General features: G+C 37.6%; 1 protein-coding gene and 1 long non-coding RNA gene across 16 annotated transcripts in view; one reads left to right on the forward strand and one right to left on the reverse strand.

Moving 5' to 3' along the window:
• MAGI2 (membrane associated guanylate kinase, WW and PDZ domain containing 2) overlaps positions 1 to 25,980 on the reverse strand; it is a 1,436,613-nt gene that overhangs the window by 167,716 nt on the left and 1,242,917 nt on the right. For 8 of the 15 annotated variants that reach the window (NM_012301.4, XM_011516718.3, XM_017012841.3 and 5 more), the window contains 3 exons: positions 16,392 to 16,423; positions 10,104 to 10,293; positions 859 to 900 (listed from right to left, as the gene is read on the reverse strand). In NM_012301.4, the coding sequence (NP_036433.2) occupies positions 859 to 900; positions 10,104 to 10,293; positions 16,392 to 16,423 (264 nt within the window). The remainder of the gene's footprint in view (positions 1 to 858; positions 901 to 10,103; positions 10,294 to 16,391; positions 16,424 to 25,980) is intronic. The other 7 variants (NM_001301128.2, XM_017012846.3, XM_047421092.1 and 4 more) reach the window with 2 other exon arrangements.
• The window catches only part of LOC124901684 (uncharacterized), a 30,058-nt gene continuing 4,493 nt past the window's right edge, over positions 416 to 25,980 (forward strand). Inside the window, exon 1 of the long non-coding RNA XR_007060400.1 lies at positions 416 to 836. This is a non-coding gene — a long non-coding RNA (uncharacterized LOC124901684). The remainder of the gene's footprint in view (positions 837 to 25,980) is intronic.

Genomic DNA, 25,980 nt, shown 5'->3' on the forward strand with positions numbered 1-25,980 from the left:
CTTTTAAGCAAATTAATTGGTGTATTACTGAAAGCTCTTAAAATTAAAATATGATATTTTAGCCTAATTTAAAATCTTATTGAAATATAGTATTTTATAATTGGCATGGTTTAAAAAAATTAAGTTGATATAGATATTTACTTGATTTGAAAAGAATTTCATTCTATGTTAGCAACATTTCTAATCCGTTCTTTGGAAATGTCTAAATTGCAAATCTCTTGAGACCTTCTAGCTTCTTATTTGTATCTAGTCTAGTGTTATTCAATGCAAATAAAATGTAAGCCACATAAGTAATTTAACATTTTCTAGTAGCCACATTTTAGAAAACAAAACAGATGAAATAAATTTTCATAATATATTTTGTTTAACTTAGTATATGCAAAATATTGTTTCAACATAAATCAATATAAAATAATTAATGAAATCTTTCTTTTTTGTTTGGGTACTGTCTTTGAAATCCAGTGTGGATTTTACACATATATTACAGCATATCTAACTTTAGAACAGCCACATTTCAAGTGCTCAATAGCCACATGTAGCTAGTGGCTACTGTATTACACAGCACGGACCTAGTCAGTCTGATGGCTCTCTTTGGCAGCTGTTTTTAATCCAGCCTTTTACTAGAGTATTTTATGAAAGAAATTCATGAATATGACTGTTTTCCTTTGTCTTTTGTTGGCAGGCATTTAGGCTCACCATGATGAGACTTGCTGTCTACCTTGAATACATGTTTTATGTAGGTGACTAAAGTAGCACAGCGATTATATACTAGGAAACTGATACTATCAGAAGAATGATTTGTTACACAAAATGGAAGACGTTTTGTTCACAGAACTGTGAGTACTGAACAATACTTGCCAGAGGAATCCATTCGAAAACTGGTCCTGGGTGGCACTTGTTCTGGATGGGAAAATGGGGAATTAAAGTTGAAATTCATTTATGGCATTTTAAAATTCATCTTTACTTTCTTTTTGTTGCTATCATAACTCCCCCAACCACAATCTCATACTTATGTTTAAGACTTTTTTTTTCCTCTAAGATCCAAGTTAGTGGACAAATTTACCCTGCTTTACGTATGAGCATGTATGTAAATATGTTTCTTTTACATGCATCCAAAATAGAAAAATCTGAATTTCTTTTTAGATCAGGGTGGAATAAGATTACCATTTCTAAATATTAAGTTTTGATTTTCATTATAAGAATACTTATTTGAAAGTAAAGTCAATCTAGAACCTGAAAGGTATACAGAAAATATAGGTCCTTTAAAATTAGGTTATAATTTTGTGTCATAAAACGTTGAAATGAAAAGTGGAAAATCCAATCAATGATTGTATTGATTTATGTACACTAGTCCAAATATATTGATATTTCCAATTATCTGGGTAGTTGAAATTATGTATAAGTAGTTGAGTTAAATTGGTTTATTTTAGCAATAGAGATCCTTTATAAGAATTATGATATAATCTATGCTACTTCTAATAACATAAAAATTCAAAAAAGTGAGTGTAAAACACCTTTAAAATGTAGGCATAGCCCACATTTAGAATTCTAGAACCTAGAACAACCTGGTTGCATACTGGGTTCTGGAAGTATTGGGAGACATGTTGCTCTCATACATGAACATTTTTCAGGGGTAGGCAAGGCTCCAATTGATTGACATGCTTCCTCCTACTCTACATGGTGGAGATGTGCAACTCCTTACTGCATGTTTGAGAAATGCAGACTTTCACCATGTCTTTATCTGGAACTGCTAAATGTGAAGAAGAACATAATTAAATTGTCCCTTGATTTTCATTCTGCCTTCTAAATCCCTGGTCTTACTATCATAGAGGCATTAATAGAGTGACAGAGATGCAAGGCACCTTTCATTCCACAGATGGTTAAGACCCAAAATGCTAAGTGACTTGCATAAGGTATTCTATACTATCTCACAAGAAACTCTTCAAGATCCTTTTTCGAAAACATACTTATTATATCTAAGTTTTAAACTTAATTAGAATGCATTATCCAATAAAACACTTTCTTATTTCATTTTAGTATTATTATGAATAAATAATACACTCTTTTCTGAACATGCTATACATTTTTTCCTAATATCTCCAGAAATTCTTCCTATTCCTTCATGGTTCTGTCAGTAGAGAATTTCCTAAACCACACAACTGGGTTTAATAAGAGATGGGCAGAAGACACATGTATGCAAACCTCTGGTCAAGAAATACTCAAGAAGCTAAAGATCTACGTTAAGATATGCTGAGTTACTTCTATCTGAGAGAATGGCAGGATATTTTTGCCCCTGTGATGAATTTCATGTTAAGTTTACCATATTGTTTTGCTTTAGAATCATGTAAGGAATTACAGATAAAAATTAACTAAACATTACTAAACGTCTCTAAAACATAAATTCACATTGTAGGTAGAAGAACTGTAAGATATTCTTGCAAGAACCACTCCTCCCACACATTTAGGCTTCAATATGTAAATTAGTTGTTGCTTGGAAGAAATTTCATACCATTATTATTATTTTGGTCTATAAAATTATATATTTATGATATATAATCATCAATCATATGCGATTATTCCTTAAGAGCATTTACAGAGGAGGCAACTTACAGTTTTGAAAGGCAGAGAATAAGAATATAGTACAATAGAACCTCCCCCATTCTGAATGTTTTAAGATGACATAATTTTATAAGATAGTTGTACCATATAAGGCTCACATAATACCAAAAAAATGAGTATTTTATCCTTAAATTTTAAAAATTAAAATAAGACCAAAGTCTGGTTGCTTTTTCATTGAGTTTTGTTTCAAATAAAGAGCCAGTTGGCTCATGGAGAGCATAACAATCATTCCTGCCAGGTAAGCTGTGTTTTCCCAGTAAAGGCAAATTAGCTTTCTGGCACAATTGTTATTTTTTAAGAACTTTCATGTTTGGTGTGGCTGCTTAGGATTATGACTTGAGAAATGTCCTTTTGTCTGTATGAGGGATGGAAGACTGCTACCTTCGAAACGCTTCCATTAGGTATAAAACTGACATTTTATGTTATACTCTCACGAGGACCTACTTGCCATCTAGCACTTAAACTCTATAGCCCTGATGGTCTCATATTAATTCATGAATATACATTGGGTTACATTGTCAACTTGTGCAACCAACAAAATGCTTTGATATATTAAATAACTTTCAATCAAGAGCTGATTTTTAGAGTTTACTTTTTACTCCTCCCCCTGCCTTTATCCCTTAATTCCAGGATCTTTTAGTTTTAAATTACTAAATGAAATAAATTTATCAGCTCTAGGATTGGATCTAATTTCTAAAATACATGGGAAAAATATGTGTCCTACCACAACTTTTATTTTGCTATCTCTATATTACTTAGCTCATACCATGGTAATTTCCTGTTTCAAAAGGAACTTGTTGGAAATATAAACGTTACCACAGTTTCTTAGAAAGCTATCTGAGGATACCTTTTTAAAATTAGATTTCCAAATTAATTAAAATCTACATATTAAAATGGCAGACACAGCTTAACCGGATTTACTGATCTTCATATCAATATAACGGCAAAGTAATGCACAATGTGATATATTAGAAAATCCAGCTGAAAGGCAAATTTTTTTCACAGATCAAATCATAACATACATTATACTAAGGATAACAATAATGCTTTTCCCATGAGAAAAGGTTGCAGAAAATCTCTCAGTACAATTGAGGACATTTAAAATGATAACATTGTTACATCTTTTTCTATCCTTTTATTTTTCTAATGCTAGAGTCACTGGTAAAAGTGTTTTAACATTTATTTATCACCTTATTTTAATATTTCACTAAAGTAAGATTGTGTTCCAGAGAACATACGTGGGGGGTACTTTAATGCCATCGGACACCAGCAGTGTTCAAGCAAATCAGGCTGGGGCTTGATCTAGCACAGTGTTCACATGTGAGGGTGTTTTCTGGGAAGGCATGATGGCCTTTCATGATCACCTAATAGCTGCCTGTAGCTATGGCATCCATGAATTTATTTAAACCTTTGTGAAACTTTTTGATATTTCCAGCTTGGCTCAACTGGGTATTTAATTACGTGGGAAAAGGAGACTTGGAGTCAGGAAGGCTTGAGCTGAAAGATTTCCACAGGCTTCAGAGCTCTGGTTTTGAGCACCCTAGACAGATACTACCATATATGATGCGGCTTCCCCCATCACTTTTCATTTAGAGATTCAAGCGGTGTTCTGTGGTGAATAATACGATTACAGTACCCCATCCTTTCAAGTGGCTCTGCTGTTAGGATGGGAGACAGTGCAAACTACAACTCTTGCTCACTAATAACAAGGAAAGAGCAGCAGAAAACCTGGTAGTTTAGAAATACAACCACCCGTTTGTGATCAGCCATGAATTACATGTGTATTACAATACTGAACAACGAAAGAATTCAATAATCAAAGAACAACAAAAGAGCAGGACAACAGCCATAGATGTGAAAAACATAACTGTCCGTTTTTGATCTGCCACAAATGATAATTTCATTTCATATATAGTACTAAAAAACAGTTTGCTTCTCCATTATACTCTTGAACTGGCGTGTGATCACTTTTGATTGCTACCTTTGCTATGATACTCATCGCTTATTATTCTAATTCTGGAAAGGAAAATTGATTGTGTGAGCTCTTTTGAAGACATTTCAGAGAAATTTCTGTTCTAAAGAGGTTATACCATAAGGCACATTACACCATACGGATCCTTGACATTTTTATGATTCTACATTTGAGTGATGTCTTACCACAAAGGAGTGTGGACATGGTGTACCTCATAAATTGTTTACTTATAATAACCAAAGTTCAATGTGAAGAGAAAAAAGTTTGAACAACTTCAGTCATAATTCAACTTGGGTTTAAACCAAGGGACAGAACCCTGAGGGAAGAGTTTCAGGAAATAAGAATTTTTCTTTTCCATTCCTGGTTGTATCTGCTTATTGCTCCAGCTTTCAAGGCTGCAGTGTGGAACAGGCCCAAGAAATGTCCCCATGAGCTGAATGATAAGACAAGCCCTTAGAGTAAGACTAGCTTAAAGAAAAGTGAAGCAACAGGACAAGGCCCTCTATCCTGTATCAACACACCCATCAGAATGATCAAGACTGAATTTCATAAGATTCCAAAGTGAGCAACATTCATTTTCTTTGGGAAGCACCTTATACTGCCTTGCCTATCACAGTTCCTCTTTTTAGTACCAGTATCTAGCTGTAGTTATCTAACTATAATCTTTCCCAGAAGAAGAAGACAGATGAGATTAACTAACTTTCAGTTTGGTGATTATTGTGATGTTGAACCTGACTTATTTTCTATATTAAGAAAGAAGACTCCATGGCATAGTACTTAAATGTGGGAAACCTTACTACCTATTTTTTTCTACTTCATTTGCCATGCACTAGATTTGTACATATGTCTAACTTTCTGGGTTTGGAAGGAGTTTACTGGGAGTTTGGCTACTAACACAAGTCACTAATAAGCCTTTACCTCAAATTAGGGATAAAATATGTATAGGCAAACATTGTATCAGCCAAATAAATTAGCTTGAAAAAATTATTTATCTGAGTAGGTATTACACTTTTTATTCATAATGTGTACATTTAGAGATATGCTTTTCTTGAACAGTAATGATGATTATTCCTTGAATAGAGTATATAAAAAAGGAAAATTTTATAATTTATCATTCAAATGATGAGAGTCTAGGGTGGTGAAAAGTGAACTATTGATAATCACGCCAGGACAGCACAGACAAGGATTGTCCAGGAAACTTCCATGTGTAGTCACCCTAGATAGTCTTATAAGTAACTAGACCAGTAATAGAAGATTTCCTATCAAATCAGAAATAAGTGGTGGACGCAAGGATGCAGTCACACATAGAGAAAGAAGGGCAGGAGGAGATGAGGGGGAGAAAACACTAAGGGCCCTTAGAACTACTTTTCTCCAAGGTTAGAAATGGCATATGTAGTCCAGCATTAGGAATATTAGCATACAAACAAGAACATTCAAGCCATTCCTGTTGTGACTGTAAAACAAATTCAAGTCCTTCCTTTATGAGATTCTCGGGAAAAAGACAGAGAAAAGAGAAGTAAAACATAGCACGGCTTGTCCCACTATGGAAAGGTATTTTCTTTTGTTTTCAATTTTCAAAATTGCAAGTAGTGGGGACATCAAGAAGTCTGTTATCAACAGAGACTATTATCACATACAGAATAGTCACGTTTGTCTAAAAATCTTTGGTAGAGATGGAAGTTGGGGAGATTTTTGTTCTTTTCTGGGAATTGGTAGTAATGACTTAGGGTCAATGTTTAAATAATTAATATGAAGATCCAGAAGGCCCATTGATTAAAACTTTTTTAGGGATTTTTTGGGCAGAGTTATACTTTTATATATGTAAGTTTAAGCTTATATGGAATTAAGTTAGTGGGGAAATAATTCTTTTTTTTTTTGCACAGAGTTCTCCAGCAAGGATTAATGAAATTTTGATAATGTAAAGGTACTTAACACATAATATTGTCTTGATTGAATATGAATTTTCACATGGAAGTTGAGAAACTCTCAGTATTTAGTTATTTTTACTGCACAATTTCACACATTAAAATATTGATATTATTTGCTGTGTTGTGTAATGGAGCCTTGTTCAGAAATCGTTTTTCTATGTGTTGTGTGTTTGTTTGTGTCCTCAACTTCATTGTAAGCTTCTAATGAGCAGAGGTTATTTTTCATAACTTCTCTTGTGGAGTGCCTTGCAGAGTTCTAGACACATAGCGAGTGTTTCATATATTCTTGTTGATTGATGTGGAGCCTGGAGTTGCCACCTCTGGGCACTGAGCCTAATGCTCTGAAATCAGAGGCGCTGCCAGCCTGCTGGGTGGGAGAATCTTCCTGTCTCTGTCCTGCTCCATTCCCAGCTCATCTTGAGATCTCATGAAGATAGGAGGTGTTTCCTATCACAGCATGTACCTGTCATGTTCTGTTTCACGTGGCCGTAGTATCCTATGATCATCTTCATTTGTTTAAAATCACAGCTTTTTTTTTCAGGAATACGTCTTTATTAAGATGTCCTGTGCATGCACATTAAAATGTCAGCATAATCGAATTATAAGTCAAATGAGGCACGGCAGCATTTACATCATTTGATAAATTTCCATCATTTGTAGGGGACTGGTGACTTGAATCCAAATATTTCTTGACAGCCTTGACAGAACAAACGTTCTGTAGCTCTGTACAGCTCAGGCTTGTGGGTGGAGGGGCGTCTTTTTATTTGGCAACTGCAACCCAGTTTTGAAAGTGAATGCAAAAATCTCTTTAGCTTTAGACCTGGTTGTAAGGAAGGACACCATGAGATCACTATAGGCTAGGGGAAATGTCAAAGGACTTAGTTTAAACAGCTCTGGTTAGGATTCTTTTCCACACCTTCCCTGGTTGCACTGATTTTTCCCCCCCCAGGAAAAGACACAAGAATAAATAGAGCCAAACCTAAATGTTATGCATGTGATTCAAAGGAATAAGAATAGGAATGGTTCATAATCACGAATTTTGAAATATTGATCTTTTGTTTCGGTATGTACATTTTATGATCATTGCATTAAAAAAACCTATTTGAAGATGATGAGAAACAGACTGAGCTTTCCAATCATTAATTAAAATCTTTTTCTTTTAGTACTGCTTTAAACATTTACATGAGAAAATAAAACTTGGAAATGGAAACGTACAGGAGGGCAAAAGGCTGTCTTTTTTTTTTTTTTTTAAGACACTCACATATCCACAAGCAGAGCGAACTGATCAGCTATTCAGAGAGACTAGAGAAAGTGGCGCCATGCTCTCCTGGTTTCCTTAATCTTCAGTGGTAGAGCTTTTCTTACCTTGACATAGTTTCTATGTTTCATTTACACTCCATTTAGTGTTATGAAGAAATGTGATAGAAAAGAGAAGGATAGGAAAGGAAATGAGCTTGTCCTCTTTTGGCTTTCTGAGATTTTTGACCCTGAAAACATTACTGTGACCTTAGAAACATTAGAGAGAGCTGATGAAAGCAGGAAGGGGTTGTGATGAGGCAGCAGCAGCAGCGGCACAGGGAGAGCACCGATGAGGGGCCCACGGTGGGGTGAGGTGGGGAGTCAGGATGTTTGCTGTCCCTGCGGCTGTAGAGGGAAAGGGCGATGAAGAGCTACCAGAGGAGAACTGAAAAAGAAAGCTCTGGAGGTTAAGGTGGACTGGTTTGCTTGGTTTGTTACAGGTGAGGAGGGGAAAGGCAAGGAACAGAAACAGTATTGCAGGGGCTGGATAAAGAAATAATTGTTTTAGAGTTGAGAGAGCATCATGTACAAGAAACTGAGGGCACAATGGTATCAGACAACCATAAAGAGAAAACTGGAGATAAATACCAACATTGTTTTTGTCCTGAATCACAAAGCTTTGCATTGGCTAGGAAATTGCAAAAAAGATGGAAGTGAATGATGAAGGAAGAGGCAAAAAGCAGGAGGAAGCATCTCTTAATGCTCCCTAAATGCAACCACAAAATTAAGCCAAGGAGGTGAGGATGATATTTTAATCCTATGCACTTCCAACTTGCATCTTAGAACTGTTAACTTTATCTTACTCTCTATTTGTTTACATTCATTATTCTTATTTCCCCAGTTAAATGTGTGAGAGCAGGGCATATTACTCATCTTTGGTATCTCCTCACAGTGCTGACAGCAAAATGGGCATTCCATCAATACTTGGTTATCAAAGCAGAAAAGGTATTAGAAACTGGGCTGAAATCTTTTCAATTTTTTTTCAGTTTAATGAACATTAATACCCTGAATTCATACTCTATATTATGTAGCTAAGAATGCCTAATTTGTTCTTACTCTGCTACAGCAAAGACATTCTAATGATACAACCTAAAAATATTTCATTTGTTCATCCAGAAGGAGAGGAATGAAATACAGTAGCTCTGATGTAGCCGCTTCTTTAAAAAAAAAAAGTATATGTGGGTTTCAGGTTGGGGGATGTTTCATTTTGACATTAATGATTTCTCAATGGCTTGCCATCCTAACTATTTTTCAACCAAAATTAGTTCTACAAAGAGTTGTAGAGGATAGGGAAAAGGTATTATGTCTGCTTTCCCCTTTACCAGCTGGGTGCATAATTCTCAGCCCCTGAGCTCATCAAAAGAGTAAGCAGATTTGAGATCCTCTGAGATCACACACAATTTAAAACTTGCTATTCATGCTACGGATGATAAAGTTGGAAACAAGACATTGATGGAACACTGAAGCAAAGGAAATCAGCAGACCGTAATGGGAGCGCCAGGGACCAAACTCTTCTACGAGGCTGGGTTTCCTGATCATTTAATACACAGATTCTTCTGATACTGTGAGATTCCTGTCCTCTAACATGTGGAGATGACTTGCAAGATGGTAGAAAGAAGCACAACAATGGTGCAAGCAATATCAAAAGCCTTGTTTTCTAATGTTTATAAAGTACAACAATTTTAAAAGACCTTCAGATAGGGTGACAAGTGCATACACGATATTTTAAGACTGAATGTTCAAATGTGCCTGACTGCACTGAAGGAGAAGCAGAAAACTGTGGCAGAGATGATTGGCACCTAGATCAGTACTGCATTCGAAACCAATTGATTTCATGCTTGTGAGCTGGGAAGGCTTGGCTGACAATTTACTCAAGGTCCTAACTTTTTAAATGGCTATATTCAAGGCTCTAAGAAAGATCTATGCTTTAGGCTCAAGATCAGATTAAACAGATTAAAAAAAAAGCCAAACACTTCTTTTCTGTATTTGGTAACCTAAACAAAACCAGCAACCTCACCCCCCAACCCCCAAAAATATATTCCCGATTTTCTTCAGGAGATTAGGGGAAGAAAAGTAGGAGATAAAATATAAGGCAAAAGATATAATAAACCGACTTTTAGAGTCAACAGGCTTTCTAAGATAATTTTAGACCAGCTGGCTCTGCTCTTGAAACACTTTTGAAACTCAGAATATAAAACCATGCCAGATCATTCAGCCTCAATATATCTCCTGGCAGGGCCTCAGCTATTATTAATGTACCCTTGTTTCATGTGGCTTTCACTTACGCCTACTTTCATAAATGGCCCTAGATTTCTCGTAGAGCTCATATGGATCAGGCTTCCGTGGGTCAAAGGCCTCTGTTGAGTCAGGAAAGGAGCTCCTGTGAAGGGCAGGTGGGAAGGGCAGGTTCTGCGGTATGGCCGGAGCAGATAAACTCGTTTGAGGACTGCCTTGATTCTCCCATCGGTCCATTATCTGAAAAGTGACAGAGGACAGAGAAAATGACTGACAAATTCTTCCTGGCTATTTCTCTTGTCACCTTTAGGTTAACCTTTTTTGCCTTGTGGACTTTTCTTCCAGGGGATGGGTAAAACTTTGGCATAAATTCCTTGAAAGAAAAGATTTTATGTCTATGTAAGACAACATCATAAACTGTTATAAATACAAGTGGTGCCTGACTTTTGAATGCAAACTTATCTATAACTTACATAACCTTGTCAACAATTAGCCAGTAATCTTTGGCAAACCACTTAATTTCTCTGTTTTTTTCCCCCTATAAGATAAAGATAATGTGTCTCAAGACGATTCATGTGTAGGTGCTTAGAAATGTATGGTATTAGTTGTTCCTTTTCTAAGATGGTTTCAACATATTACATCACTTTCACTGGAGCAGAAGATACAGTCGTCTGCATATACTCATTTGACACCTATGCATATCGCAACAACTTCCTACGCTTGAGCATTCAGTCGCTTTCCTCTCAGTTTAGACGTAATTATGCAACCATCTAGGATTCAGGGATTGTTCAAAGTCTTCTAGGAAGCCTCATTTACTGTGGATCTGGTGGTTCCTCCCCCAGAATGCTGCTACTGATGTTGCTACTGCTATAATTTAAAGACCTGCAGAGTACTTCCCAGTTTATCATGTTCTTTCACATACGTGATCTTCTTGGATCCTCACCATAGCACCATAAGATAGAGAAGGCAGAGATTAATACCATTTTTTATCAAGGAGGAAGCCAGACTCCCTGAGACCACCTATTGGCACTGCCAACTTCACCTTCATTCATCAACTGATGCCTCATTCAAACTCAATTTTTCCTTCCTGCTTTGAATTGACCGGCAGCGTATGTAAGATTTAGACTAGTTTGCCCTCCTGCTGAAACTCTGCTCTGAGTATGCATGGTCCTCAGGACAAAGGCCAAACTTCCTAGAGGGTCATGGCGGGCTCCTTTTGAGCCTGGGTCTGCTCACCTTCCTCATATTGGCTGATGGGCTGGCTTCTCATTCCCGAGGACCCACCCAGTTCTCTTCTGCTTCTGAAACTTTGCATACTTCATTTCTCTTTCTACATGTATTTTCCACTCTTCCTTCCCCTCTCTCATTTCACCTAGCTACTAGATTCAGAGGAGGTGTCTCCTTTCCTAGAGGGCTCTTGCTGACCGCCCTGTCCCTCCTGCCCCTCGCACCACTTCCTCACATCCAACTGTGATTACCACGAGTCTACCCAGCCATGTCTCAAACAGATCAGACGCAAACAGGGCTGCGTCTTTCTACTTGTTGTATTACCAGTGCATAGTTAGTACTCAGAAAAAGTACATTTAGTGAGTGAATAAAATATGGCCACTTAAAAAAAACAGTTTTGATATACACTACATTGAACTTGGCAGGATTGTAACTTTCTGTCCCCTATGGCACCGTCCTGCTTTAGTTTTCACACTAGCTATATTTTTGTCGGGGCTCTGATTCCACCTCTGGTCTGTCCATCATCAATATTTTCAAGCTGGAAGGGATGTGAGGTGCCATATACTCCAGTGTTTTTTAAACTGTGCACATGTGCTGTGTAACACCAGAGACACCAGGGGCCTGCCCTGCCCACCTGGGACTGGGACTGTGGCAGGGGTTCATGTTGAGCCAGCAAACTGGAAAAGAAATGGGTCACTGACCCTTCCTTCAATAAGACTGGCTTCGTTTTAATTTGTTTTCTATGTGGGCTATTGCCCAAGATCTCATTTGAACAAAGTTTCTATAACTGTCAAGGATGGAAAACCTCTAGTCTAGTTCAATTTCCTCCTGTGAAACATAATCTCTAGAAGCATAGAGAGGGTAAGTGGCTTGTCTGAGGTCCAGCAGTTGCCAGTGGCAGATCCTGGGTCAGAACCACCCTGTAACTCTAACAGAAGTAATTGTTTATATAATATCACACTGGGGGGAATAACTGTTAAATATGGTTTGAGTTTTAGTGAATTTTAGTGAATTTTCTGCTCAGAAGGGCTTGTGCTCCCATTTGTAAAAATCTTTAACTATGTACTTCATAATTCATTTGATCGCAAAATTCATACAGAAAGCTATTCTGGGTTTCCTTGGTCATCCATTCTGGGTGAACTTGCCATGATGTGGAAGGCCACATTTGTGGGTAAAGGCATATCCTCGGTAATTTTTCACTTTAGCTGACTTTAGGCAGCATGTGGATGCATTCTAGCTGTGACTTTATCCCTTCTGTTTTCAAATATAAGATACTAAATACTAAAAAGTAAATAAATTAGAAATATGGTCTGGGGAGCTGTAGTACTCTCCCACTTGTCATCACAAGGCTTCAGCAAATGTCTATTTCTTTCTCCCATATTCCATTGAGGGTTACTTCATACCCAAATGTGTCTTGCTGGTATATGTATTGTTCATGTAGTCATTGGACATGCTTCACATGAAATATTGGTATTTCTAAAAAACAATCTTAAAACTACAGAACAAGTAATGCTTTGGGCACTGTTTGGGAAGGCTGCCATGGCAGATTGACAAATTCTACAATTTCTGTAGCACAGAGATTGGGGAATTAGTCAAGAGTCCAGTTCATGCTTAGTAAAGCATTCACAACTTCCTGTTGTGACATTCATTAACTCTTGAGTCACTCTGTCAGGGTTTCCTAAAAGGCTGTAAAGCAGAAAATCACTGCACCCAAGAAAAAGCAGACATATTATTCTGTTCCCCACCACCTCCTGCCCTGCTCCCTCCTAAACGGAGTTACCTGGTGGCTCCTACCCAGAAGACCATGGGACAAACCACCTGCCCTGGGGTCAGAGGTCATCCCCTTACCTGGGGCTGGTGTGCTGGCCTGACTGCACCTTCTGAGGGGTGGATTCCATTGACTCTTCCCTCCTTCCTTAGACACTTTGGTCTCTGGACTTTTGCTTTCTACCTGGGATACTCACTGTGTGCTCCTTTCTACCTTCATGAACCCCCTGGATTCTGATCCTGTCGCCTTACTGAGGTCGATGGGCCTCACTTGCTCTGGCTAGCATCTTCTTGGCCTTTCCCTGTTTAGAGTTTTTGTTACCTGCCAGGTGTTTATTTCTCAACAAGCTTCTTTTTGGGCCCCTCTTGTCCAGTCCCAGTGGTGTCCACACCCAGGCCAATGTTTATAAACATCTCACTAGAATAAGCACAAATGGAAATAAAGTTGTTTTCTATAGCTGAGAGAAGTCTGTATCTCTTGGTGAATGAATGGATGTCTGTGCAACTTTATGAACGGACAGCCACTGAAATATCAGTGAGCAGCCTGGATGTACAGTCCACACCCAGGCATCAAATAGTAAAACAGAACACTCTGTTCATGGCTGTGGCCGTTTTTTTTTTTTTTTTTTTTCGAGACATGGTCTCACTCTGTCGCCCAGGCTGGAGTGCAAGGGCATGATCTTGGCTTACTGCAACCTCCGCCTCCCGGGCTCAAGTGATCCTCCCCGCTCAGTCTCCCGAGTAGCTGGGACTACAGGCATATGCCACCATGCCCAGCTAGTTTTTGTATTTTTAGTAGAGACAGGATTTCGCCATGTTGGCCATGCTTGTGGCTGATTTTTCAACCTCAGCTTCTGATTCTAGGGTGCATACAGGGAGTAGAGAGATTATGAATGAGGCAGGCCCCTCTCCCCTACTCCCATGAAATGCTCTGTCCAGAAACTGTTTTCTTACTGTAGAAAGTGGGGTAGTTTAAATCATCCCCCTCACTATTTTGGGCAGGGTTGGAAGATGATGGCATTTATCTTGATTCTGTATTTGAAGAATGCACTTGATCCTTTCCAGATGGAGAGAATGAGAACTCACTATTTTAGCATATTACTTGTTCAACAGGAAGTGACTATCTTGACATGGAATAGCATAAGATGTGAATCAGTAGGACAGAAAAGAGTCAGGAGGTAACACAGGACTAGGAGGAAGCTAGAGCTCACCCCATATAACATTTCCTTATTCTGACCCAAGATATCATCAATACTCTACTTAGCGTCTTCCTGGCCTTCACCTATTTAGAGTTTGTGTTACCGGCCACGTGGTCATTTCTCAACAAGCTTCTTATTGGGCCTCTCTTGTCCAGTCCCAAGGTGTCCATGCCCAGTAAAGTGGGACTGAATAAGAGAGGCCCAATAAGGGCCACACTCAGAGGACAGGTGTATAAACCTACATACTGTGGGTATATTGTTATATACTTGTTTTGATTAATAGTTTAGTCAACTATGTTCATTTCATACAGTGACTTGGTAAAGGCTCATGAATGGAGGGTCTGCTTCCTGTGGTGATGGTAGTTAATGTTTTCAAGCTCAACATGTAGAGGCAACATGTTTTAAGCACCTTACATGGATTAACTCATAGAATTCCTCACAATAACCATGTGAGAGGGGTGTTACTATCTCCATTTTACAGATATAGAACTTGAGACTGATAGCTTACGTAGCTAGCTCAAGTCATCTGTTAGGAAAAGAAGCAAAACTTGAGTCCAGGTAGAATGCCTTTAGTACCAGCACCCTAAACAAGTACATTAATGCCACGCTTCCTCTCATTATAGTCCTCAAGAGTTTCTGGTAGATACATGGAAGACATCAAATCTACAGCCTTCTACCTTCCTTTGTCTATGCCGTGGAAGTCCAAGCCCTAGCTTTTGTAGAAATACATGGATTCAAGATTAATTGTACATTGAGTTCTATAAAACAATTTTTGGAATTACTGACTATGCATGTAATTACAATAATGACAGCAAATGCTGCAATTATACCAAATGACATAATTTTGTATAAATGTGGTACGTATAAGGAAATCACTAGATTGTATAATTGTAGCACCATGATGAGGTCGCAAGGTTCCTTGTTGAATTAGATAAAGATGTGTATAACCACAGAGCACAGATTTAAGTTTGGTGGTGAAAGGAAGGAACTATTTAGACATTGGTTAAGATAAACCAAATTTCATTTTAAACATTTAAAAGTATCTCTTTTCAAAATCACATGCATCCTTAAGTGATTTGCTAAGCTTAAATAGGACTGGTTTTCCCATCTAATGTTCTTTGTGGACCAGATGAGTCAAATCCTAAATGAGGTCCTGCTTAGTGAGAGTGTTCTGCTTTGCTGCAGCCTCTTCCAGTCATGGGTTTCACATATCCCAGTTAGGGCCGAGTATTCTAACACATAAAATGGGATGCCAGAAAACCAGTCCCAGCTCTTGGGACTTGGGCAATTAATAGTTTCAATCTATCTGCAAGTGAAGACCACCTCTAACTGCTAAGCCAACTTGGCTAGCCTAGCTCTGCAAAAAGATTATTAAAACCCACCAGCTTCCTATACTGGCGCAGACATTTTAGCATGTTTCGTAGGCCTATAGTGGTCAGATGATGGTAGAGATCTCCAGTATCTGAAGAAGATTCAGAAGCACCATTTTGAGTGCTTGTCAGGTTTGGCAGAATATATATACAGTATACAGAGCTTAAATATACGTGTGTGTGTATGTGTGTGTGTATATGTATATACATATATATATACACAAAGACACATACACACATTATATGTATACATACACATACCTATTTTATATATACACATATATACAAAGCTAACATATATATACACATGACACATACACACATGTAGCTCTGCATACATTAAAATGTAAATATAAATATATACAGAGTTAAATTTTTTGTGGACTAGATTTAATTTGCAGGTCAAGACTTCTGGACCTATAGTTTGTATTGTTCCTAAAAATTCCATGTTATGAAGACTACATTGTATTGTGGACAGGAGAAAAACAAAAGGTTTCTAAAGTATTTTCATTACATTAGGCTGCATAGTGTTAATGTTCATTTTGTAAGTATATATTTTTTAAAAGGGCAGAATTGTTTTTATAGGAAGGTAAGGTGAGTGACTCATGTACTTGTGGGACAGATACAAGACAAAAGGACACAGAGGATTTATTTTTTTTACATCACAGACTCCTAGAGTTGAAAGAGATTTTGAGGTCACCCAATTCAACTTTTATTAAATGAAATTGCAATAGTAAGTAGAAATAAAGAAAGAAGCATAATAATTCCAACTTACAGGCTTTGGAGTTTTCCATGGAGAAAAGAAACCTGTAATAAAGAAAACAATATTTGAACTTTGAAAATATTACCGACTGCCACTTATGGGTGGCACGATATTAAGATAATTGTAATTGATTTTAAATTAGTTAACAGCGAACAATAACAAAAACTTCTGCCTGGCTGTATCGTTTTCTTCAAGGAGCTCAAAATCAAATAATTTCATTGGAATTGTATTAATGATTCTAAGAACATTCCTTATTTGGCAACTGAAGATGCTAAGGCACAGAGAAGGCAAGTGAACATGTATCAAATCCTCAGAGCTTGACAAGGCTCAAAACTCAGTCACCCTTAGGGATTTCTATTGCACAGCCTTAGTGGGAAAGAGAGAGAGGATATTGACATACATTTTGATTTCAAAGGTAAATATCTTTGCTTGGTATAAGAAATGGTTGTTTTATTTACCTGCTTTATGTGGTTAAAAATCAATTAATAAGCCTTCATTATTCCTAACTTTAAAAATAACGTATATGCCTACATTATGAATTAGGTTCCACTATAAATTTTTGTGAGTGTTTCTCCACTGAGATGGGGCAGATTTCTATCTTTGTGCCCCGGTGCTAGCAGACATTTTGTGTGAAGAGCTCAAAATGTTTGTTACTTGAATGAATCATGTATCATGGAAGCCTTTTTTACCCAATGTATTGATCTCTTTGTATTATCACAAAATATAATGATTCGAGTAACCCTGTTGTGATCCAAATGATTAAGATAATTAAAAGTAAAGGATAGATTAACTCCCTTTTAAAAAATATTATTTTAGCATATGAAATCAATTTTTTAAAAGGTGATAAAACAAGCTTAAAATAGAGGGAGAGGGCACTGCCACATGCTGATCCTAACAATCCAAAACTTAATTGAGCACATAGAACAAAATCATATCTTTTCATATATCTTCCTTCTTTCAACAATTTTCACTTAAGTTAGTATAAGGTAGTTTCTGATAAAATCCCTAATAAAAATGAATATTGAAAACATGCCACATACTATGTTTATCATCTTTAAAACAGACTTGTTCAAAATGGGCATAGTTGACAACTATTCCTATTTCCATTTGTAGGAAATATCTATAGAAATCGGGACACATAGTTACCTACACACATTAGGGAATCCAACTCAGCATGTCAAAAATACTAATTGCACCACAATGCACTGTTGTGAATAAGTGATGATTAATTTTATGAAAAGAATTAAACTGGGCCGGGTGCAGTGGCTCACACCTGTAATTCCAGCACTTTGGGAGGCCGAGGCGGGCGGATTACCCAAGGTCGGGAGTTTGAGGTCAGCCTGGCCAACATGGTGAAACCCTGTCTCTGCTAAAAATACAAAAATTAGCCAGGTGTGGAGGCATGCACCTGTAATCCCAGCTACTTGGGAGGCTGAGGCAGGAGAATCGCTGGAACTCGGGAGGCGGAGAGTGCAGTGAGCCAAGATCCCGCCACTGTACTCCAGCCTGGGCAACAGAGTGAGACTCTGTCTCAAAAAAAAAAAAAAAAAAAAAAAATTAAGCTATATAATCCATCATGTTTCTTAGCTTTCCTTAGAACCTAGAGTTACACTTAATGTTTAGGGGTAATAACCATCTTACCCAAGAAGTTGGTAAAATTAGCTCTCTTTCTGTCTTACATATGCTGTTCACTATTTCTCTTTCCAATTAATAAAAAAATTCTGTTCAATGTGTGGTTCATAAGGATTTAATCGCATCCTTTTTGGAAAGAGTTGACAGTAAAAATTACATATAAATAAATACATTTATCTCCTTGACTCATTCTATAAAATACCAATGAAAACAATTTGACCATGAGTTTAAAAGTGAAACAGATTTTAACCTATTGGCTGATTGACCATTGTCTTCAGTGAAGTATAAAATTTATTTGCTGTTTTACGGAATTGCCAGCAATAGCACTTTTGCGAAAAGATGTCATTTATATATTTTCACCATGTCAAAATATTCAATGATTTCCTCTACTTTCTTTGTGTCATCACCTTCTTCCTGCAATGCCCAAACAGACTTTGAGTATTTGCTATTTCACATCTGACAGGTGCTGGGATTCTTAGACTTTGATACAGAGGTATTGAAAATAGTTCCTCTTAATGGTGCTCTCATCTCCACATGAGACGTTATCTTGAAAGATGATTTTCCCTCCTATAGAAAATGTATAATCATCTACCGTCTCAGGAGTTATGGTGTCAGAACTAAAATGGTGTAAGCAGGAGCCTGGTGGAGAAGAGACAAGGAGAGGGGGCGTTTAATTTGACTGCCTTTCATCATGGGTACTTGGGCTCCTCATTCTTCTAAGGCTGATTCATTCAGTCTGACCTCAGACCATTGGTGCAACCCAGGGCTCCTTTACTGCTCACGTGATGGCAGTTTCTGGAATATTTCTAATGCTGAGTTGTGCTGCAGAAGCTTCAGTCTTTGAAGCAATAGTAGTCCTTTCTGAATTATTGTTAAAAAGAAGTTGCGTGCTGCAGAGTAAGGAATTTTATATGGTAAGAGAGAGCATCAGAATAATTTCCTTAAAAATAAATGCTATTTTTGTGTATCTGTCAAATTATTAATCATGTTACAAACATTTAAATTAAGATGAATGAAAAACATTTATTTTGGATATACTCAATTTGGTCCTGATGAAGACAGAAGGTCAAATTTTCTATGTGATTCAACTCCAACTTTCCGCTCAACTTCATGGGAAGTTGTGGGTCAAACTACTACACATTTCTTACTTTTTTTGTGGGGATGGCCCCTCTAGGAAATCTAGTCTATTTCAATTAAAATTAAAAAGCACTAAAAACCAAATCAAAACTGTCAAGTCCTTGAAGAGACATGCTGGTTATTATATTGAGCTTATTTCTGAAATTATTCTGGTAGGACATAGATCACAAAAGCAAGATAAGACTTCTGAGATCTAGGAAGTTTTGCATATGCATGTATTGTGTGGTGAATTTCCACACTCCATGTGAATGGAATAATTTCTAATAATAATTATGGAATAATTTCTATTGGGCATGATTATTTAAAAACTGCTTGCTAAATTTCGCCTTTGCTGCTTGCCTCACAGATCATAGGACACTATTCCCCTCATCACCCAGAAACTATTACACCTCGCTTGGCGTCCTAGCCTTTCTCAATTCTAAGCATTTTGCTAGGCTTGGTTCTCCTGAAAATATTAATTTTGGGGCATCTCTTCACCCATTTTCATAGGGAAACAGGAACAGAGATACAGAAAACCTTTTCTTCAGCCTTTCTGAGTTGAGGTAGTCTTCACTATAAAACCAAGTTTATAGAAAAAGAGCCATATTCTTTAAAATAATAGTAATAGTAATAGTTTGTTTTAGTTTCTGGTCTTTATTTCCCCTACTTCTGTAGAAAGCTGTATATTAGAATTCTCTGGTGGGATTAAAATTTTTTTTATAATGATCTGACTCATGTTTTTCGTACTGATCATGTATTGATTTTTATCCTTAGCAACTTGTTGTGTGTTTGAGTGTGCATTTGTGTGTGTACAAATGCAAATGTATTTATTTAATCTTGCGTCTTATGATAAAAGCAAAAGAGCTCAAGATATAGTTGTAAGTTAAATGAAATATGGATAAGAACATAAAACAAAAGAGAATAAATGGAAAAATTTAGATGTAGCTAATATAGAAACTAGATGCATTTTTAAAATTTATTTTTAAATAGATGCGTTTTAATATAAAGCACAAAACTGATTACACCTGTAAAATCTGTCTTCTTTGGAACCAGAAATAAAACTAGAATATATTTGTAACTCTGCATCTAAGAGCATAGTGAGATGGGCAGAGAAACAGACACACATTGCAAATTGTTTAGGCAGGAAATCCTGGTACTTGAAAATGACAGAAGAAAAAAGACAACACTGATTTCATTATTGAAATGTAAATTAAATCTACATGTCAACTAAACACGATTTATTTTTTTCTTGAGACAGGGTCTCACTTGGTCACCCCACGCTGAAGTGCAGTGGCGTGATCTTAGCCCACTGCAACCTCTACCTCCCAGGCTAAAGCGATCCTCCCTCCTCAGCCTCCTGAGTAGCTGGGACCACAGGCATCTGCCACCACACCCAGCTAATTTTTGTATTTTTAGTAGAGATGGGGTTTCCCCATGGTGGTCAGGCTGGTCTCAAACTCCTGGCTTAAAGTGATCTGCCCACCTCAGCCTCCCAAAGTGCTGGGATTACAGATGTGAGCCACTGCGCCTGGCCCAAAATACAACTTTTAATGAACTGCAGAAATATGGTTGCCAGATAAAATATATACCCAGCCAAATTTGAATTTTGGAGAAAACAATGAATAATTTTTTTGGATGTAAGTATGTTCCATATATAGCATGAGACATATACTACATGGGACATACTGCTATTAAAAATTATTTGATACTTCTGGAACCTATTCATATTAAAATTATTCATTGTTTGAAATTCAATTTAATTAGGAATTCTATATTTTTATTTGCGAAATCTGGTCATCCTATATAGAGAACAATTTATATATGTCCCTGGTAACCATTTTAAAATAAAAACACAATAGTAACATCTACTGCAGGTAATATTTATTTCATTCAGAAAAAAAAGCCCTGAAAATATTTACTATTTCCTTTATTGTCAGGAATCTTGATTTTGAGAAACCTTAGAACATTCCATTTGCTATACAGATCATTGCATTGTGCTGACTGCCTTCTCATTGGGATCCTGGACTGAGGGCACCTCATGTGATACAGGATGCTGTGGCCAATGCTAGTGCCACAAAAGGCCATTTTCAAACTGCTTGATGCAAATTAGAGTGGCTCTTTTCAGAACTTACTTTTCCTGACACATGATAACCAAAATGAAAGAACATCAATGTCTTTACAGTAGATCTGAAGTGGAGATCCCCTCTCTGGGTGTGCATTTGTGTGGTAACAGTTTTATTATTATTTATTTTCACAGGGCAAAAAGATTATGAACTTTCTTAAAATCACCCCAATTCAAATAAGAGTTCAAAATACAATGAAGAGCAACTTTAATCTATCATGATATCGTCAATTTGGCATAACACCAAGACAACTTTTCTTTTTCCTTTTCCTTTCTTTTTTTTTTTTTTTGAGATGGAGTCTTGCTCTGTTGCCTAGGCTGGAGTGCAGTGGCGTGATCTTGGCTCACTGCAACCTCCGCCTCCCGGGTTCCAGCGATTCTCTTGCCTCAGCCTCCTGAATAGCTGGGACTACAGGTGTGTGCCACCATGCCCAGCTAATTTTTGTATTTTTTAGTAGAGATGGGGTTTCACCATATTGGCCAGGCTGGTCTCAAACTCCTGATCTCATGATCCACCCGACTCGGCCTCCCAAAGTGGTGGAATTACAGGCGTGAGCCACCGCGCCTGGCCGCCAAGACAACTTTTCAAGATTTTCAGGAATTTTCCCAAACAGAACTAAGTCTTTCAACATCCTTCTGTATTCCAGTCGATACACTGAACTCCCATTTGCAGAATGTGAAATAGTTTCTCCTTTAGCTGAAATATTTGCTAGAACATATGATTCTACTTTTGAAGATTACTGTTACAACGTCATGTATTTCATAGGGGATTCTGCAGTTACTAAATATGATGGAGATGCTGGGGAAACACTTTCTAGTTCTCTTTTTTTTAAGCACAGAAGAGGAGTAGGAACGACTTTTAAACAAAGATATGTTTCACTACTGATTTCCATGCCCTAAAGCTGTGTGTTCTGTTTTACATAAGAAAAGGAGACAAAATAATTTGAATACACTTAACATTGTTGAGCTGTACACTGAGATGTAAGATAAGTTTTATGTTATGTGTATTTTACCACAATTAAATTTTTTTCAAGCAATAAAAGAAAAAAGTGAAAAGAGAGAACAAAAGTGTGCACATATCACATGTGTAAGAGAGAAAAAAGAGAAAGTAATAAATGGAGAGAGTTTTTTTTTCACAGTCCCTGTGATGCCCTGCTGGAAGACAGGAAACTCACCTGAACACCCACACAGACCTTTCTACCTCTTAAATTATCCTTTTTTATGAAGGATTGTAGGGAATAAACTGAATTCACATTCTCACTACATTTCTGAAAATATTTCAGGGATTATGGAGAAACTCTTTCAATACAAGAAACTGTTTTTTAAAAGTTTCCCAAAGAGGAAAAAAAGCCCCAGGGCTTTTATAATCTCCATTTAGGGTTAATTGGATGGAGAAAAATACCACTAATAAAATTAATGTTTAATTTAAAGATCCTCCCATTCTCCCACAGCCTGGAAAACAGACCTAAGCTTTCCATCAAAAATTTAGCCTTTGGTAAATGTAAGCCAGCAGAGTCATGAGCTAATTTCCATGAGAACTAGTTCAATGTTATTCACTTTTTTTCTGGTTTTTGACTGATTCATGTATTCCTTATTAAAATTCATTAAATGGGTTAAGCCCTGCAGTTCTTTGAGATAATTTGTTTAAGCTGCTCGAAGTGGGTAAAAGGGCAATTTTTCCTAATGAAACTGACCTAGGCTAAGAAAAGACCTGTCCCTTAGCAAGAGTGGAAGACACACTACTGCCAGTACTCAAACATCACATCACCATGTGTTAGCCAAGCAATACGTTCAATTTGCAAAGAAAATTTCACATAACTACCATCTTTGACCTGCAGAATCCATTTTTGTTGTTGTTGTTGTTTTTTGTTTTGTTAAGATGGAGTCTCACTCTGTCACTCAGTGCAGTGGCCTGATCTCGGCTCACTGTAACCTCCGCCTCCCAGGTTCAAGCAGTTCTCTGCCTCAGCCTCCCAAGTAGCTGGGATTACAGGCGCCCACCACCATGCCCGGCTAATTTTTGTATTTTTAGTAGAGAAGGGGTTTCACTATCTTGGCCAGGCTGGTCTCGAACTCCTGACCTCGTGATCCATCCACCTCGGCCTCCCAAAGTGGCTTTTTTTTTTTTTTTTTTTTAATATGGGGAGCTGAGGCTTTCTCTGCAATGCTTTAAAAACGATCCTTTCTGTACCTTTTAAATAAAAGTGTTTTTCTTAGAAACACTGTAAAATTGTTTTCAAACAGCCATTTCTCCCCTGGCTTTGTTCCTTATGGAGAGAGCCATCCAACCATTTCAAGTAATCCCAATGACTATCAAAAGGATAAATCTGCACATATTGTCTTCTGATAAACTCAGCTATATAAAGGATAGGTTCAAAATAATGCAGGCAAGGTGAAAAGCCTTAAACAGGAATAAAGGAATGGACTGGAAGAGGAAGAATTGTGCTAGGAAGGCTAAAACTCAGAGTGAGGTGAGTCTGGAAGAAAATATTAACAACTACAAAGGGCTTTTTATTTATGTTCTGAGCAAGATAAGGGGAATAAAGAGAGAAACCTGCTCTGGGTTTATGGCACACTGTAAAAAATTGGCAAAGAAAATGTGGAAGGCAATCAATACTTGCAAATGGAAAAATCCAGTTCTGACATTTTTTAAAAAATGGTGAATGTATAGCATTTTTTTTTTTTTTTGGGAAATCCATCTAGAAAGATTTTAAAGTAATTTAAGATGGATTACATGTCTGTTTGGTATTTTACACCAACATTAAATACATCTTTATTGAGTTGTTGGTGTCTTACAAGCATCATAAATTCAATACAGAAATGGAATCTTTTATCTTTCCTCCCAAATCCACTCTTCACTCTTTAGTGTTCCTTATTTTGGGAAATTTCACCTGCCCTCTGAGGTTTTAAGACAGGAACCTGGCCGGGCGCGGTGGCTCACGCCTGTAATCCCAGCACTTTGGGAGGCCGAGGCAGGTGGATCACGAGGTCAGGAGATCGAGACCATCTGGGCTAACACGGTGAAACCCTGTCTCTACTAAAAATACAAAAAATTAGCCGGGCGTGGTGGCGGGCGCCTGTAGTCCCAGCTACTTGGGAGGCTGAGGCAGGAGAATGGCGTGAACCCGGGAGGCGGAGCTTGCAGTGAGCTGAGATCGCGCCACTGCACTCCACCCTGGGCGACAGAGCAAGACTCTGTCTCAAAAAAAAAAAAAAAAAAAAAAAAGACAGGAACCTAAAAGTCATTCTTTTTTTTTTTTGAGACGGAGTCTCGCTCTGTTGCCCAGGCTGGAGAGCAGTGGCGCGATCTCGGCTCACTGCAAGCTCCGCCTTACGGGTTCAGGCCATTCTCCTGTCTCAGCCTCCCGAGTAGCTGGGACTACAGGCGTGCACCATCACGCCCCACTAAAATTTGTATTTTTAGTAGAGATGGGGGTTTCACCATGTTGGCCAGGATGGTCTTGATCTCCTGACCTCATGATCTGCCCACCATGGCTTCCCAAAGTGCTGGGATTACAGGTGTGAGTCACCGTGCCTGGCCTGAAAGTCATTCTTAACACTTTCCTTTCCTTTCCTTCCATACCACCAAATTTCCGTCTTTTCTGTCTCCGAAATCTATTTCAAATCTCCTTCTATTTACCTCCATGGCCACCATTGTAATTCACGCCCTATTTTCTCTTGCTTGAGCTGAAACAACAGCAAATTTGACGATGTCACTGAATTTGATTATGCTTGAAAATCCTTCAGTGAATTCCTGTTACAGTTGAGACGAAACGCAAAACCTACAAGGCTCTGAAGAAATTGGCTGCTACCTATTCCTTGGCCAGAGCATGCGTCACTCCTCTTCAATTGTTGAAGTTCCTTAAGCCAGGTGTTTTTAACCACAGGGCCTTTGCACCAACTCCTTTATTTGTCCACTCTTTCTTACTCTTTACATAGCTATCTCTGACCCTTTTTTATGTGTCAGCTTAAGTATCATTTTCTCAGAGATGTCTCTGACCTTTCATTGTTAATCAAGTTTCCTTATTATAGTTTTTCATTGTATCCTGCATTTTTCCTTTATATGGTTCTATTTGTAATTATATTTATTAGATCATATTTATTAATGTCATAATTTTAAAATTATTAGTTTAATGTCCATCTCCCCCATTAGAGCATAAATTCCATTAGTGGAGATATTATACCTATTTTCTTCATCATGTATCCCCAGTACTTAGCAAATACCTGACACACAGTGGATACTTCAGTAGACCTAATTGAATGGCTCAGTAATGGTAGTGAAGGGTGAGGAATGTAGGATACAGAGACATAGTCAAAAGATACTCGGGAGAACTGATGAGTCCCGGAGATTTGCTGGGGATGGAGAAGTACTATAAAGGAGAAGATGAAATCTGTGATGACTTCTAGCTTGGGAACTTGAGTGTATGATGGTGTTGTTGGCTGAGATAAAAAAAGAGGCTTGTTTGAGTGGAGTCTCATGAGTTAGATTATGGGCAAAATAAGTCGGAGGTGCCTTTGGGAGTATGGGTTCAAATGTAGTTTGAACTACATTTTGAAGTTTGCACCAAAATGAGTTTGAGTTTAGGTGTTTAAGTTCTATAGTAATTGGCTCTACTGTGTGGTGCTCAGAGATATGTGTCAGGTAAAACTTAAAATAATGCAGCAAAATTGTGTTGCATGAAAAGTGAAATCCTTGGATTTGTAGAAGAATGAGTGAAGTGTTTGAAAAGT

The sequence above is a fragment of the Homo sapiens genome, chromosome 7 (assembly GCF_000001405.40).
Source record: "Homo sapiens chromosome 7, GRCh38.p14 Primary Assembly".
Taxonomy (NCBI): Eukaryota; Metazoa; Chordata; class Mammalia; order Primates; family Hominidae; genus Homo; species Homo sapiens.